The 16,993-nt window shown below is 44.4% G+C and overlaps 2 non-coding genes across 2 annotated transcripts; one reads left to right on the forward strand and one right to left on the reverse strand.

Moving 5' to 3' along the window:
• Nucleotides 1-6,078: 6,078 nt before the first annotated feature.
• Nucleotides 6,079-6,150, forward strand: TRQ-CTG4-2 (tRNA-Gln (anticodon CTG) 4-2). Its single transcript has one exon. It is a non-coding gene; the product is annotated as a tRNA-Gln (tRNA).
• Nucleotides 6,151-14,060: 7,910 nt separating this feature from the next.
• Nucleotides 14,061-14,224, reverse strand: RNVU1-17 (RNA, variant U1 small nuclear 17). Its single transcript, NR_104078.1, has one exon. It is a non-coding gene; the product is annotated as an RNA, variant U1 small nuclear 17 (small nuclear RNA).
• Between the last annotated feature and the right edge of the window lie 2,769 nt (nt 14,225-16,993).

A 16,993-nucleotide genomic window follows, 5' to 3' on the forward strand; every position in this document is an offset into this window, starting at 1 on the left:
TCCAGAAATAGAGGACAAGATAAGGATTTTATAAAACAGACATGTGATTCAACAGTTGTTTAAGATGTAGAAAGCTGCAAGAGACAGTTGTTCCCACTCTAATGACAAGAAAAAGCTGTATGGTCTGCAAAATCATATGTGTTTTGATCCCACCAGAGAGCTGAAGTTGCAAGGCCCCTGAGTCAGCTGAAGTCCAAAGCATGAGAAACCCCCCTACAGAAGGACAAACAGATGAAGCAGTTCATCTTTAACAGATAATGGAAGGAAAAGATGGAAGCCATAAATGTTGGTTGGAGAAAAATCACTGAAGTTTTCATCATTTCTTTAGTTTTTTTTTTTTTTTTTTTTGATACGGAGTCTCACTGTTGCCCAGGCTGGAGTGCAGTGGCGCGATCTTGGCTCACTGCAGGCTGCACCCCCCGGGGTTCACGCCATTCTCCTGCTTCAGCCTCCCTAGTAGCTGGGACTACAGGTACCCGCCACCCCGCCCGGCTAATTTTTTGTATTTTTAGTAGAGACGCGGTTTCACCGTGTTAGCCAGGATGGTCTCGATCTCCTGACCTCGTGAACCACCCGCCTCAGCCTCCCAAAGTGCTGGGATTACAGGCTTCATCATTTCTTAAAGGCCAAGTGTGAACTATTGTGACAGCTTAGAATCTCTGAGAGTCCCAGACACATAGCCTGTTTTGCCCATTTACTGGGTCTTTCCTCCCACGTACTTAGTGCTGATAAGACACATGTAGCAGGGAAAGAGAATTTCTCGAGCTTGCCACAGTGGTGTAGGCATATAAGTCATGAATGCATGATAGAGCACCACCAGAGCACAGGCACAAAACGTGGTTGCTTCTCTCACATAAAACAAAAGGCATCTACCACTGATGTTGGAGCTAGAAACCTGTCCAACCCTTGCCCCCAGGTATAGGCCAGCTGCTGAGGCAGAGTTAGACACAAAAGCTGTCTATACTGGACAAGGGGAGGAGACCTGCTCTTGCCCAAGACTTCCCATCATTGAAAGGTAGAGTTCCACCACTCCCAGGGGATGTCATAGGAACACTAGGACTCAGGCACCCATGGCCTGAGGTTTGGTACACATTCAGTGCTATCAGTAATATGAGTTGGTTTCAATCGATCATTTGAGTTGGTTGCAGACCCTTTCCTTTAGTGAGGAAAAACTGTGATGTGGGTACAAAGTTTCCACGTTTAGGAAAGATTGGCCCGTCCTTCAGGATATTATATTGATTGGATTTCTCTCAACCTCCTTTAGTTGTGTTTACCGTTATTAAAATTCAGTGACATTCACTTGGATGAGGTGGTAATAAAAACAAGTTGTGAGAATTTCTAGTGATTTTTGATCCCAAGCCATGTATCACTGTTGGGCCTTCATGTGTGTACTTGAAAACAAAACATGTACAATTGTCGCACTGGTTTGAAGATTTTAATGGTGAAAGCAACCTAATCAGTAATCAGTACTCTATCTAGAAACCAATCTTGGAAATATGTGATTATGCTCTTTTAAAATAGCTGAAAAGAAGGCCGGGTGTTCTGGCTCATTCCTACAATCCCAGCACTTTGAGGGGCCGAGTTGGGCAGATCACTGAAGGCCAGGAGTTCAAGGCCAGAAGCCTGGCCAAGATGATGAAACCCTGTCTTTACTAAAAACACAAAAATCAGCTGGGGGTGGTGGTGCACACCTGTAATTCCAGTTACTCAGGAGGCTGAGGCAGGAAAATCCCTTGAACATGGGACTCGAAGGTGGAGGTTGCAGTCAGCTGAGATCCTGCTACTGTACCCCAACCTAGGTGACAGAGGGAGATTCTGTCTCAAAATAAATAAATAAATAAAATAGCTGAAAAGAAATGACTCTGTGTTTATTCTCACTTTGTTCTTGTTTTGTTGTATAGTATTTAAATAAAAGCAGATTATTTATCCTCATACTGAATTTCCAAAACTGATATTTGCATTTAACATTTTGTTAAATGATGGAGAGAAAATTTAATTGTCTTACTTTGAAAAGTTTGGCATAGGTTCTGTCACATTTTTGATGCTTTCAATCGCAGTCTGTCATTAGAATGCTGGCAACTAGTTACATGCAAGGAGTATCCTAACCACTTTAATACAATGGTTTGAAGTGCTGCAGGCAGTAACTACTGGACACCAAATCACAGTGTTTTTATTGGTGACATGTTAGAGAGAAATAGAACTTTCTGCAGTACAAATGTCCTATTAACAAATCCTTGTGCTATTAGCTTACAGGACTTTGACTCCTGGGTCTGAAAAAGGCACCTACTCCTGCTAAATCTTGAATATTGACACCATTCAATGCCTCATCTTCAGACCCTGAGGAAGACGACAATCCAAATGAACTGCTTTCATGAGAAACAGAACAAGAAATTGAAACAATTTAATCTCTCTAGACCCAACAATCCCACCTGCCCCCTTTTCCACCTCATGCCCCCTCTTCCTCTGGACAGAAGAGATGGGCACATGACAATGGTAAGGCCGGAGTCTGAGGGATAAGTTTAGTTCAGAGACTTTCTTTTCTTTCTCTTTTCTTTTCTTTCCTTCCTTCCTTCCTTTTTCCTTTCTTTCTTTCTTTTTTTTTTTTTTTTTTTTGCATTTTTGGTAGACACAATGTTTCACCATATTGCCCAGGCTAGACTCAAACTCCTAAGTTCAAGTGATCCACCCACCCTGGCCTCTCAAATTCAGAGATTTTCTATAAATTAGACATTACACTCAGGAGCACACTGATGCAAGGCCAGCAACTGGCCCCGTGTATCAGAATAACAGGGTTTTCTAGAGCGTTCATCTGATTTTTCATAGAAAAGTATAAAAGGTCATGAAAGGTTTTTGAAACTCTTACCTTATGGTCAAACTAATTGTAATTAAATTTGTGTATAAGGTTTTATTAAAATTATCTTTAACATTTTAATACACCACACAAAGGTAAAATTTAGTTTTCTCTTTTGATCAAAATGTTTGTGTAATATTAATAATAGATAAAATATTTTTGTTTACCTTTTGGCTAAATGATTGACTATTATAAGGTGACCTGTGACCCTATTTTGTGATATCAAGTGTCTCAAAACTTTGATATCTGGCAAACTTTCTAAGAGTAAAATTTCTAAATTCAGCCCTTTGGACCTCAAATTAACTTTTTGGATATTAGGTTCTTGAAGTCCAAGAGAGATATATTAGGCTTCTTAGGCTTATTTGTTATGTAGAATTATGCATGAAGCATTGTCAAATCTGAGGTGGTGTTTCACTTCCTTTGGGTTCTATTGACACAGATGTGTTGTTAATGTGTGTTCCAGGATTGTATGAGATTCCTAGAGTTCTGATATGCTGTTGGTAATAATTATGATTATTACGTTAAATTGTTGTGTGCCACAGAACCAACCAAATTCCCTTGTCAACTGTATCTTTAACTATGGCTGTCTTAAGGCTTTTGTCATCCACAATTGTTGTTTTGCTTTGATTCTTCTCAAAAAGTGACTTATAATCAGTCACAGTCCAGGCCTTGGTTTTTTGGGGAAGTCCATGAAAAGGACTCTTGGATGCAGGTTTCTGATAACTCTGGAGATCGTGCCATTAACTAAAGAGAAAATTTCCAGGGCACTAACAGAAAGGCTGATGTGTTCATAGAGATTGCTAGCCCAGTATGAAGCAAAGCAGGAGATGATTGCATGGATTAAACTAATGGAGGACTGAAATAAGTTTTTATGGCCTTTGTTTGTTTGTTTGTTTGAAACATGGTTTATTCTTCAGAGTCTGGAGAACTTTTTTCCTTTTGAGCTATTTATAGCCTGAAACAATTGAGTAGAATAGTCTTCTAAACAGAATTTGAGGCATATTTTTCTCTCTCTGCTGAATTTCTCCAGAATTTGTAAACTGAATATTCTTAATTCATGACAATGTGTTTATTTGCATAAGTTCAATAAGATTCTGTTTTCTTTTATAACCTGACACAGGTGGAGGAATTGGTAATTTTCCCAGGGCTTTGCCTGAAATGTCATTGTGAAATGTTCCAGCAAAGCCCATTTAGGAGAGCCTATGTGAACAATGATTCTTGCTGCACTTTGTGTGGGTAATCAGGCCAAGTATATGGGACTGAAGCTTCTTTTGCAGGTAGGTTGGTCCTGCTGTGTTTTATCTTAGTGGAAATGGGGAACTGGAGAGAGGAAGGTTGTGTTTCAGGAGAAACCATGGTATTAGATGAATGTTTGATTCCTGGGTGGCCATGCGGTCACCCATGGTGTGGAGCTGCCCAGGATGCCCCTTCTCCACATGACACAGCCAGAAAGATGGATGACCAGATTCCCCATGATTGAGGAACTGACAAATAGAAAGTGGGGACTGAAATCGATGCAATAGTCCCACAGACAGTGTTTTTGGATAGATGTAGAAATGGACCCTTCTAGTCTTAAAGCTTGAAACTTACATTTGTTTTATCTGAGTTCATTCCTCAGGAAAGGACCCTCAGCCTCTCAAAAAGCATCATAGACCTGAAACTCAGCAGATCACAGCATCCAGACAATGAGATGCCAGACCCCTCACTCATCATAAGTGCTTCCTCACCCCTCCAGTTCCTCTTTTCCTACTCACAGTTACGTTTCTTCCCTGCTACATAAACTCCTCACTTTAGTTGATCAGGGAGATTGATTTGAGACTGATCTCCCGTCTCCTCAGCTGCAGCACACAGTTAAAGCCTTCTTCCTTGGCAATACTCAATGTCTCAATGATTGGCTTTCTGTGAGCTGAGCCGCGGGCCTAGACCAAACACCTGGGCTTTCAGTAACAATACATGTACACTTTTAAAGCCTGCAATTAATGGGTCATGAGATATTGAGAAATTGGAATGACATCAACTTGGCCAATTCTGAGAAAATACACTGTGCTTAAATGTCAGGGCCCCGCCTCCTGACCTTGACAGTATATGGTTGATTTTGAGTCATAGCAGGTGAGTATGGCCTGGTTTGAGTGTTTTATAGAAATATATAATATGGCTGATTGCATTTATTTTAAATCCAAAAAATTTCCATTTCTGGTGAGCAAATTTTGTTAAAACCAACCAAACAAACAAACATAGAAGTATATGAACAAGACAATGAATGATTCCCTGCCTCCCAATCTCATTTGATTGCTGTCTTCTGTTATATACTACAGGGAAGAAGGGGGCAAGGCACCCAGGATGTCCCATGTCCTGTTTTGACAATCATCTGGCCTCCTTGGGCAAACAGAAAAGAAGGAAAGCATCAAGAAAATAACAGAAATTTTGCAGAAATTTCATCTCCGGTCTGGGCGCAGTGGCTCACACCTGTAATCCCAGCACTTTGGGAGGCCAAGGTGGGCAAATCACTTGAGGTCAAGAGTTCAATACCAGCCTGGCCAACATGGCAAAACCTCATCTCTACTAAATATACAAAATTTAACCAGGCATGGTGGCCCACGCTTGTAATCCCAGCTACTGGGGATTACAATCACTTGAACCCAGCAGATGGAGGTGGCAGTGAGGAGAGATCACCCACTGCCACTGCACTGCACTCCAGCCTGAGCAACAGAAGGAAACTCTGTCTCAATGGAAAGAAAGAAAGAAAGAAAGAAAGAAAGAAAGAAAGAAAGAAAGAAAGAAAGAAAGGAAGGAAGGAAGGGAAGGAAGGAAGAAAAGAAAGAAAGAAAGAAAGAAAGAAAGAAAGAAAGAAAGAAAGAAAGAAAGAAGGAAGGAAGGAAAGAAAGAAAGGGAGAGAGAGAGAGAAAAGAAAAGAAAAGAGGAAGAAACGAAGAAAGGAAGAAAGAAATTTCACCTAGGCACAGGAAACTCTATGACAGAGGCTTCAGGGGCTCTTCTCTGGCCCTAAACTCGCAGTGGATTTTTGCCTCATTTTCCGAGGTGCAAATGAAATGATAGAAGTCGATCAAAGGAGAGGGCAGAGAGAAAGCAAGAAGGATGGCTCCTTCCTGCAGGTCCACCTTCCTGGAGTGTTGCTTGTGGGATAATAGAAATGCCTTGACATGGGTGGGTGGGAACTATTGCTACTTATTAGGAATTCAGACGCTTCTGGCAAATTCGCATTGTGAGGTTCCATGGTGTAATGGTAAGCACTCTGGACTCTGAATCCAGCGATCCGAGTTCGAGTCTCGGTGGAACCTTTCTGTTTAATTAGGAAGGCAATGCCGTGTTTTACTCCCTAAATGGAATGGGGATTCTGCTGACGTTCAGAAGCTCTGCGCTGCGGGCCTCCGTGTCCCTTCTGCTCCCGCTGTCTGAGCCTCGGGATGCACGCCGCTCTCCTCATCCCCTCTTCGGTGTTCGGGGTCCCAGAAACCGGGTTCTCACAGTGGCCCGGACCACAGGGAAATCGCCGAATCATCCATTCGGGGTCAAAGAGCCTGGAGGATCCCCTTTCAGGGCCAGCCTCCTGGCACCCAGCAATCGGAGGCCCGGACTCGCCCCGCCAGGGACCCAGCGACCCAGCAAGTCCTCACCCCCTCTCAGGGCGACCCTAGGCCTCGGGGAGAGGTCTCCACTAAAAAGGCTGCCACCTCTCGATCCTAGACCCCGAGATTCCTTTCACCCGGGAAATCTCTTAATCGCATCCTTTGTCATTTTGGTAAGTAAACGGTGGCGTGAGAAATTTTGATGGGGTTAGCTCAGTCACTGGAGATTGTGTCTCAGTTTAGGATCGGTGGTTGGAGACCTAACTTGGGAGTAGCACTTTTTTATTCGCATGGCCCATCCAATTCCGAATGTTAATTTATTCTGTTCTTCATATTCAGATTTTTATGCCGAATTTCTAGCTCCTACGTCTCTATTGCGGGCCCTAAAAGTCGCTGTTTCACTAAGCTTTGGAACCTGACTCCGGGAAATTTCATTCTTTCCTCCCAAGATCTCAGCCGGAAAGAGAGATCCGCGCGGGCTGGGAGCGCGGGTTCTGTTCCTCGGCCGCCCCGGCTGAACTCCCGCAGGACCACGGGGAAGAGGAGCCTGAGCAGCTCTGAGGGGCCAGTCTCTGACGGTGGGGCTCCCCCTCGTCCCGTCAGGACCCTGCCCCAAGGAGAAGACGCCTTAGAACGCTACCAGAGTTAAAAATGTTTTCTCCTGCGCTTCAGAGCACTTGGGATGAGGTTCCTGATGGGTCTTGGGAGTGAACTAAGATGTCACTCCAGGCGCTCAGGACCATCGCTCTGATTTTCATATTTTGGGGCTGAGAGCGGTTACGAAGGACTGAAAAACACCGCAGTCTTTGAGGGGCTCAGTTTGGAGGACGAGCTGGGGGAGGGGGGCGGTGAGAAGACGCCTTCTTGGCTCCTTGGAGTGGACTGGCAGGTAAGGAAAAATAAACTCCGTTTCCCCTTGCAGGCTACACTGCAGGGCCTGGGATGGACAATTGGACAGTCAAAGAGTAACAATATTTATGTAGAGGTTGGCTGCATGCATTAAAAATTGTTATCCCTACAGATAAGTGTAGGAAGGGACCACGGCACTGCGGTTCACCACCAGCTTTGCAGCATATGTAACTATGAAAACAGTGTATAGTGCATAAAAAATTCATTCCTGTTCACAAATAATTGATCACAACCAGTTACAGGTTTCTTTGTTCCTTCTCCACTTCCACTGCTTCACTTGACTAGCCTTACAGGAAAAAAAAAAATCATTTGTAAATATGATATTGTTTCAGTTGATCCTCAGCCCGCCCGTTCCCCACCCCCTGAAAGTAGCTGGAATAACAGGTGTGCTAATTTTTGTATTTTTAGTAGAGACAGGGTTACGCCATTTTGGCCAGGCAGCTCTCGAACTTAAGAACTCAGGTGATCCGCCTGCCTGGGCCTCCCTGAACCTCTCTGCTGGGATTACAGGCATGAGCCACCCCACTTGGCCATCATTTGTATTTTGAATTTAAATATTTTGTAGTCATCACTCTTCAAAGATTCTGGGTTTTGTTGCATGTGCATGATGGGATTCAGGACATGCTACTCCAAAGTATAACATCTTGGGGTATTGAATATTTTATGCTAAAGGAATATGAGTAAACCACAGAAGCAGGAAGGTCACTGTCACCCTCCCCCTGCCCTTCTTCCCTGAAGTCGATTGTAAGACTCTTATGTGAGAGGTGCCCTCTCTGTACCCAGAGGAAAGGTGCATCCTGGAGTGTGAAGACACAGGGACACAGAGAAGAGCCTGAACACAGAGGCCTGGCCACATTTTCCCCAGTTTGTTACTGTTAGATCATACTTTTATTGTCTTATCATACTTCTCCATGACTATCCATTCTTCAATAAAACTACTGTTAAAAAACAAATAAACAAAAAACTGAGGTTTAGCTGTTTCCATGGGCCTTCATTTTCTTTGGAAGGCGCTCCTGTCACATAAAACTTACATTAAACAAATACATATGTTCTTCTCTTATTAGTCTGTGTTTTGCTGTGAGGGTCTCAGCAGTGAACCTAGGCTGGGTGAGGAAAAGTCATATTTCCTCCCCGACATGTACAAATGTCTTCCACTGTAAAGCTATAAAAATTTTATTGGGGCAGATGTGAAGCAAAAAATTGAATCATTATTCCCCTTTGGATGAGTTGAACAGATGAGCTAATAAACTCCCAGTTCCCCCCAGATAGAAATACTTCTCTAGCTCATTCCCCGAAGCTCCTTGAGGGTCAAACTTGTTGGAGATTGAGGGGCCTTCCTGGGATCTCCCAGCCCAGGAGGTTGCTGCTGGTGAGAGGATTGCTGCAGTCTCCCTGGGAGGGTGCATGGTCACTGGAAAGTATCACTGCTATAACTTCAATACAACCGGTTTTCATCACATCTGCTCTTTGTGCAGTGTTACAGGCAAAATACAAGAGCTAACATGCACATGAGTAACACATGCACATCATCAACTGTGCCTGCAACCCAAAGTGCTACATGTCACACACAGTTGATGAGTGTGCGTATGTTTACTCATTTAGTCCTTACCTCAGGCAGAGGTCACGCCATCACCTTCATCTTCCATATGAGAAAACTGAGATGCACAAAGATGTTAAGTGACCTGCCCAGGGTCACTCAGCCAGCAAAGGAGGATTTGAAAGTGGGAATTTGAAGTGAAGGCAGCCTGTCTCCAGAAGACATTCTCAGAACCACTGTGTTTATACTGCTCCTAACAAAACCAGCCTTGCAAAAATTATGACAGTGAGAAAAACCTGACATAGGAAAACTATGACTGTGAAAGAAATCTGACCTAACTGACTGCATCTTGCTTCTAACCTCTGAGCTGCCCTTGTCCATTCCTGGGCATAGGCCAGGCTAACTATGAGAGGAGTTTAGTTCCAAGTCTAAGTCTGAAACAGAGATGATTGCCCATTCCTGAGACAAACCCCTTCCTTTCTTGGGGATCAGACCTCCTTAGCAAAGCTAACAGATCAGGTACGAGATTGGAAATTATGGCTCAGGAGCCATGCAGCCAGAAGCCACATGATTCCTAAGCTCCCCAACTGTGCCTTATATAACAGTATTAGTGTCAAACCTAAGATTTGACAGGGTGTTCAAGGTATTTTTCAGACCCTGCCTTATGATGGACTAGCTGGCACACCCAGACCGGTAAACTGTCTCATCTTGTCCTGTGGCCCTCACCCAGGGACTGACTCAGTGCCATAAACAAGCTCTGACACTGTGATTTCATCCCCAACGCAACCAATCAGCTTTGCCCATTTCCTAGCCCCCTGCCTGCCAAACTATCCAAAAAAAAAAAAAAAAAAACCCTAGTCTCCGAATTTGGGGGGAGGCAGATTTGAGTAATAATAAACCCCTGTCCTGGTCCCTCAGCTGCCTTTGCATTTATTAAATTTTTTCTCTATTGTAGAAAGCCTGCTGTGCTCAGCTCCATTGGCTTTTCTGGGCAACCAGCAAGATAAACCTAGCAGGCAATTACACTAATAAAAGAAAAACACAAATGGTAAGCATGCTTGAAAAGAAATGTAAGTCTGTATATTTCTTTTGAAGAAACACAAAAGGAGGAGGAATGATAAGATAGGCAATACACTGTCCTAAATATTTTCATGATTCTCCTGCCTCCCGCATTTCCTTCTTATCCCAATAACTGCTCCCCAGAAACCTTCAACTTAAACATGGTCCTGCCAGAACTGGGTTTGTCCTTCCCTTTACATTTTCCTCTCACCTGCCCCACACCCCTTCCATATCTAATCTGTCCTTTCACTTCCAAGTCATTGAGTTTTTCCATTTAAAAATATGAAAGATACGGAAAGAAGAAGATAACCAGTTATCCATATTAGCAAAGTACTGTTCACATATGTACATATTTTTCTTCCAAACAATTTTAAAGTTACTCTCATTTAAAAAAAAATTATACATGCTTAGCATAGACCATACCACCAATACAGAAAAAGTACAGATACATAAAATTTCTGATCACGTTAAGTTCAAAATAATTTTTGTTAACATTAGGGCAACACTCATTGAGTCATGTTCTTCTGGTATATCTACAGAGACAGTGTATATTTTAGGTAGACTGGCCCCCGCCCCATGCACCCATAAAAGAAAAAATAGAACAATAAAGAAAGCTATATATATATATATATATATATATATATATATATATGAGTTATATATTTTATATATATATATCCACATACATATATGCTTTTGTAAAATTGAGCTTAGACTGTATTTTTATTTTACAAATATTCCATTTAATAGTGCATGAATTTAACTGAAGACAGAGACAGAAACACAAATGAAGGAATTCCTGAACTCTCAATCACATTTAGAGAGACATTTTCTAAAGGAATCTTCTAAAGCTAAACGTACATTAAATTAAGTAGAAGGCATTATGATTTGCAGTGGTTTTCCTTTTTTTTGTTTTTTGTTTTGTTTTGTTTTGTTTTGTTTTGTTTTTTGAGACCGAGTCTTCTCTGTCGCCCAGGCTGGAGTGCAGTGGCACGATCTCGGCTCACTGCAACCTCTGCCTCCCAGGTTCAAGCAATTCTCCTGCCTCAGCCTCCCAAGTAGCTGGGACTACAGGTGTGCACCACCACATCCAGCTAATTTTTGTATTTTTAGTAGAGATGGGGTTTCACTATGTTGGCTAGGATGGTCTCGATCTCTTGCCCTCGCAATCCGTCTGCCTCGGCCTCCCAAAGAGCCGGGATTACAGGCGTAGGCCACTGCACCCGGCCTTCTTTTTCTTTTCTTTTCTTTTTTTTTTTTTTTAGCATGGCATCACTCACTCTGTCACCCAGACTGGAGTGTGGTGGCGCCAGCTCAGCTTACTGCAACTTCCACCTCCCAGGTTCAAGAGATTCTCCTGCCTTAGCCTCCCAAGTAGCTGGGATTACAGGCGCCCGCCACCACGCCCAGCTAATTTTTTTTTTTGTATTTTTAGTAGAGATGAGGTTTCACCATGTTGGCCCGCTGGTTTCAAACTCCTTACCTCAGGTGATCCGCCTGCCTCAGCCTCCCAGAGTGCTAGGATTACAGGCGTGAGCCACCGCACCCAGCCTGCAGCCTGTAGTGGTTTTCTTATTACTTTTTACAATCAAATTGATTAAGGCATTGGTTGAATATGGTACAATGCATCCATTTCAAGTTTGATGACATGTCTATTACTCCAAAATGTCCTTTTGTACCCTTTGTAGTCAGTCCCCTCGACTCCCTGAACCCAGCAATCAATGATGTAGTTTCTGTCACTATACAGGTTAGTTTCACCTGTTCTAGAAATTCAGCTTGATGGCGCCACAGAGGATGCACTCTTTTCATCACTCAGCATGAGGTTTTTGAGATTCACCAATGCTATCTCATGTTTCCATAATTTGTCCCATCTTCCCCTGGAAGAATATATCACAATAGGTCCATTCACCTCTTGATGCATATGAACGGTTTCCAGTTTCGGGACTATTGTAAACAAAGCTGCTAAGAACAAGTTCTTTTTGTGAATATATGTTTTGTAAATTCCATTTGTCATTCTTTAGTATTAACTTATTTTGTAAAAGGATGTCACCTTCACAAGTGCAAAATTCATTCAAATGTTTTTTGAAAAAAGTTGAGGCCTGAAGCAGCAGTCTACACAATTTCCTTTCTTATATTTCATAATTAAGGGGAAGAAACTTTATCTGGGATATTATTTCCTATCAGCAAATCCTTAATGTAAGCCACACACGATGCTAGCTGTACTATTAGACTATCTTCTGTAATCTGTGCAATAACTCCAAGAAGTACTTCATATTATTATTTTCCTGTAACACTTTCCAACTTGAAGCCTAGCAAATTGAAGGACCTGGCCCAAGGTCAAACAGAAGGCAAGGGGCAGCGCCAGGACTGGAAGAAGGCCTTCCCAAAGGCAGACAGAAGCTCATGTCTTTGTCAGAACCTCGGTATTTCTGATGCGCCTGGAAGCCAATATCCAAGCCGTTCTCAGCCACCGGATTGGTGGGTCCTTTTGCTCAGAAACTCCTCGATGAGGAATCCCAAGCATACGTTAGTGATGACGGTCCCGAAACAAGGGACATTTCTTAAACATTCTAAAAACCCTTTTGCTCATCGGTAACGCAATGAAAGTTGTTTTCGGTCTTGCTTCATATATTTTATATTTGAGCAAGGCAATGTCCGCTGTTGGGGTTAGAAGTAAATGGCTCGTCTTCATCAAACTAGATCAGTCCGTAAGAAGTACGGCTTCCACTCGCAGTGTCCTGAACACTCGCTGGGCGTCCTGTGCGTTCTAGCCGGTTTTCTTTGGAGCCGCGGGTTTCTGCACCGCGCCCGGGTTGGGATGGCAGAGGCTTCTCGGGACGTGCGGATCTATGAGTGCCGTCCCCAGGGTAGCCACCAGGGGACGCCATAGGCCTTCCTTCCGTGGTCCTCTTTGCCTTTTTCGTTTGGGCCAGGTAGTTTCTATTGACCAGGACATTAGAGATCAGAAGTGGGTGGGGTCAGAAAACACACCCTGGGAGAGGCTGGCGAAATGCCCAGAACCTCCATCACTAGGCCTGGGGTTTTCTTCTGTAGTGGAATTCTTGTGCTCATGTAGTGCAGGGACAAAACCAATTAGATACTTCTGGGAGTTAAAAAGAGATGAATTTACAATGCCATTTGAGAAGGGGTATTAAGGAAACGTCCGAATTTGCCAGGGTACTGATGCGTGTCTGGTGCAAAACGCAGGTTGAGAGAGAGCTAAGTACTTCCTGTCCATGAAGGTGATAAGCGAGGGCCTGAAGAGGGACGGGGGAGGACACTGGCGCCAGAGATAGAAAGAGGCGGCTTGGGGGTGGGAAGCATGGGTCGGGGTGCTATTTAGAAAGTTGCCTGGCAATGGATGTGGGATGTGGAAGCGAGACATCAAACAAGAAGCTGTCACTTAAATGAAATCTGAAGAAAGACTAGATATGTAAACGGCAGGAGATAGTGGATCCGGCTCCTCATAAAATTTCCCGCTTTATATTTCAGGGAGGATCGCAGCGCATTTTCGCCAAGACAGGTGAGACTGCGGTTCTGACCTGCGTGTCTCGGGATGAATTGCGTTAGGGCACCTGGGCGCCGGTAGACCCCTTCCCCTCCGCAAAGTAAGCGTGTTATGTCTACAACCCAACGGGAACACTAAGAGCCCCAAAGGCCCTGATTTCTTCCCAAAGAACAGCGCCCGTCTGCGTAGTTTGTACCTGGCTCTACCAAGTGAGAACACATTCCCCGCTAGCACAGAAATCCTACAAACTCCTGAGGGGGCTGCGCTTAGAAGCAGAGGCTGTGTAAAAGGTGATTGGGGGCTAGGGAAAAACAAGAAGATTTTTACAGAGCGTGAGACCCCAAGAGAATGGAGACTATGGACCAATCTCTGCAAAAAGCAGCCTCATGTTGAAAGGAAGGAGCTGTGCGGCCTTCGCGCTACTTAGCTTGTGTTAAACAGGAACACAACGCCTGACGCTTATTTTTCCGGCAGGAACGACGGCGACATGTTACTTCCTGTTTCCCTGCCATCCGGCTATAAGAATAACACACCACCACCAAGATTATACAGCAAAAAAAAGCGAGAAGTAGACCTTTGCATACCAACTGCTTTTTGCACTGGAAAATTCAGGGGAAAGCGCGAACGCAGTCCCCCACTACCACAAATTACGCAGTCGAGTTTCCCACAGTTGGGGAAATCGCAGAGGTCAACACATCCGGAGTGCAATGGATAAGCCTCGCTCTGGAAAAACCACTTTCATGATCATACTATCTCCCCTGCCAGGTAAGTGTGAGTTCACACATCTCCGCCCTGCGACAGCTCCATACGCCTCAACCTTTACAGACACGGTCACTTGCCCCGCGCACCCGCACCCCCACCCCCACCCCGCCCCATGCCACCCGGAGCCCTCCTAGCCCTGACACACAGCTGGGACTCTCACGTCCAACCAGCGGTCCTGGACTTGCTCCCAAAGCAGGAGAAATCCTTCGTGGGAAGCAGCAGCCCCTAAGCTGCCTCATCTACGTAGGAATCGCCCTATCCGTGATGTCACCGACAGCGCCTTTCCCGGTCCCCATCTGCTCTTCCGCCCGACCCTCCGCCACTCAGCCGACCAACCCGCTGCGGGAGCCGGCGGAGGAAGTGAAGTCTACCTCTATCTCCTTTCCCTCCCTTCCCCACCCCTGGTCTCTCCCAAAGAAGTAGGTTCTTAGCCTGTGATGCCAAGGACCCCTTTGGCGGCCAGCTGGAGCCTGGGCGCTCTTCTTTGAGTAATGGCTTTTAATGCGCAAACTAGAAAGTTTAGGATTACAAAGAAAACCGGTTCTTTTCACATACGGTTATCCTTGTGATGTACCATTCCGCTTGACAGTGGAAGTCGTTCAATATCAGAGAGAAACAGTATCTATGAAACTAGAGAGGCTGCTCAGATGACTGCAAACCAGCCATCCTTACTTGTTTTATCACTAGGAATATTATAAAGACGGCTGTCCAGTTTCATCAATCTTGTAGGGTTTTTTTCAAATACAGCAATGTACAAAAATGTGCTGCCCCAGCAGAGCACACTGGACACTCAGGCATGGTGCTGGAGTCGTTTTGCCATCTCTTCACTGCCTTCTCTAGACCTTAGCGCTTACCTCATGTTAACACTTTATATGCTGCAAAGACAGAAACAAAGTCATCCAAATGTGGCAAAAATATTTTGGGGAAATTTTATTTCAGGTATTTAACTGATTACTTTTAATATGTAGGCAACAACACCAAACTCTGACAATACTCCGCAGACTTATTAATGGTTTCCACCCCCGTCTCTGCAAATCTATCAGGCAAGTTTTTCCCGCCCTTTACTTTCATATAAACTGAGTCATACACTGTGTAGTGAGTTTTGGGGGGAGTGTTACTGCCCAACAGGTTCACCTTGCCTGCTGCCTAGACAGAGCCAATTTTTTGACACAGGGGAATTGCAATAAAGAGTTATTTAAACAGAGCTGGCTGTGTGGGAGACCAGACTTTTATTTTTACTCAAATCAGCCTCCTCAAGCATTCCGGGACCAGTTTTTAAGGATAATTTGGTGGATGGGGGCCAGTGAGTTGGGAGTTCTGATTGGTCAGGTCAGAGATGAAATCACAGGGAGCTGAAGCTGTCGTCTTGTCCTGGGTCAGTTCATGTGTGGGGGACACAAGACCAGATGAGCCAGGTTATCAGTCTAGCTGGTGCCAGCTGATCCACTGAGTGCAGGGTCGGCAAAATACCTCAAGCACTGATCTTAGGTTTTCCAATAATGATGTGATCTCCAGGAACAATTTGGGGAGGTTTAGAATCTTGCAGCCAGAGGCTACATGACTCCTAAACCATAATTTCTAATCTCGTGGCTAATTTGTTAGTCCTGCAAATGCAGTCTAGTCCCCAGGCAGGAAAGGGGATATTATCATCTTTGTTTCACAGCTAAACCATAAACTAAGTTCCTCCCAAAGTTATTTTGGTCTGAGCCCAGGAATGAACAAGGACAGCTTGGATGTTAGAAACAAGATGGAATCAGATCAGATCTCTTTCACCGTGATAATTGTCCCAGTTCTAATTTTTCAAAGGCAGTTTCAGAAGCAGAGGCATAGGTTTGACTTCTTTCACTCAGTCTTATGTCTATGAATTTTTCACCTTATTCATATGGTTATTTGTTTCTGTGTGTCTTACTTTGTATGAATATACATTAACTTATTTATTCATTTGACTGTTGTTGAACATGTTGACCTAAAAGAAAGAGGCTGAAGCACAAAACATAATATAGAGTTTACTTGAGCCAACATGAAGACAGCTGCCTGGAAGACTCACACCCAAGGAACCTTGGATCTGAGCTCCCTTTGGCTTTTGTCACAAGCAGGTTTTTAAGGTCAAAAGCAGGGACAGACAGTAGGCTGATAGAAAGGTGCCTGTCAGGAATTCTCATTGGTTTACAGAAATAACATTGATTGGTGATTGGCTTTATGTTGTTAAGTTATAGGCTATGGGGTATAGTGTTTGGTGTGGCATTATTAGGATAATTTACAGCGACTTGAGGCGATATCAAGCAGTTTCAACAGATGAATACATAGCTCAAAAGGAAGGAATGGAAAGGGGTTTCTCTCTCGATTTAACATCTCTCTGGGCCTGATCATTTGAAAGGGCTCACATTCCTCAGATAAAAATTTTTTTAAGTCCTCCTCTCCCTCTCCCTCGTCTCCCTCTCCCTCCTCTCCCTCTCCCCACGGTCTCCCTCTCCCTCTCTTTCCACGGTCTCCCCCTGATGCCGAGCCAAAGCTGGACTGTACTGCTGCCATCTCGGCTCACTGCAACCTCCCTGCCTGATTCTCCTGCCTCAGCCTGCTGAGTGCCTGCGATTGCAGGCGCGCGCCGCCACGCCTGACTGGTTTTCGTATTTTTTTGGTGGAGACGGGGTTTCGCTGTGTTGGCCGGGCTGGTCTCCAGCTCCTAACCACGAGTGATCCGCCAGCCTCGGCCTCCCGAGGTGCCGGGATGGCAGACGGAGTCGCGTTCACTCAGTGCTCAATGGTGCCCAGGCTGGAGT

Source organism: Homo sapiens, chromosome 1 (genome assembly GCF_000001405.40).
Source record: "Homo sapiens chromosome 1, GRCh38.p14 Primary Assembly".
Lineage (NCBI taxonomy): Eukaryota > Metazoa > Chordata > Mammalia > Primates > Hominidae > Homo > Homo sapiens.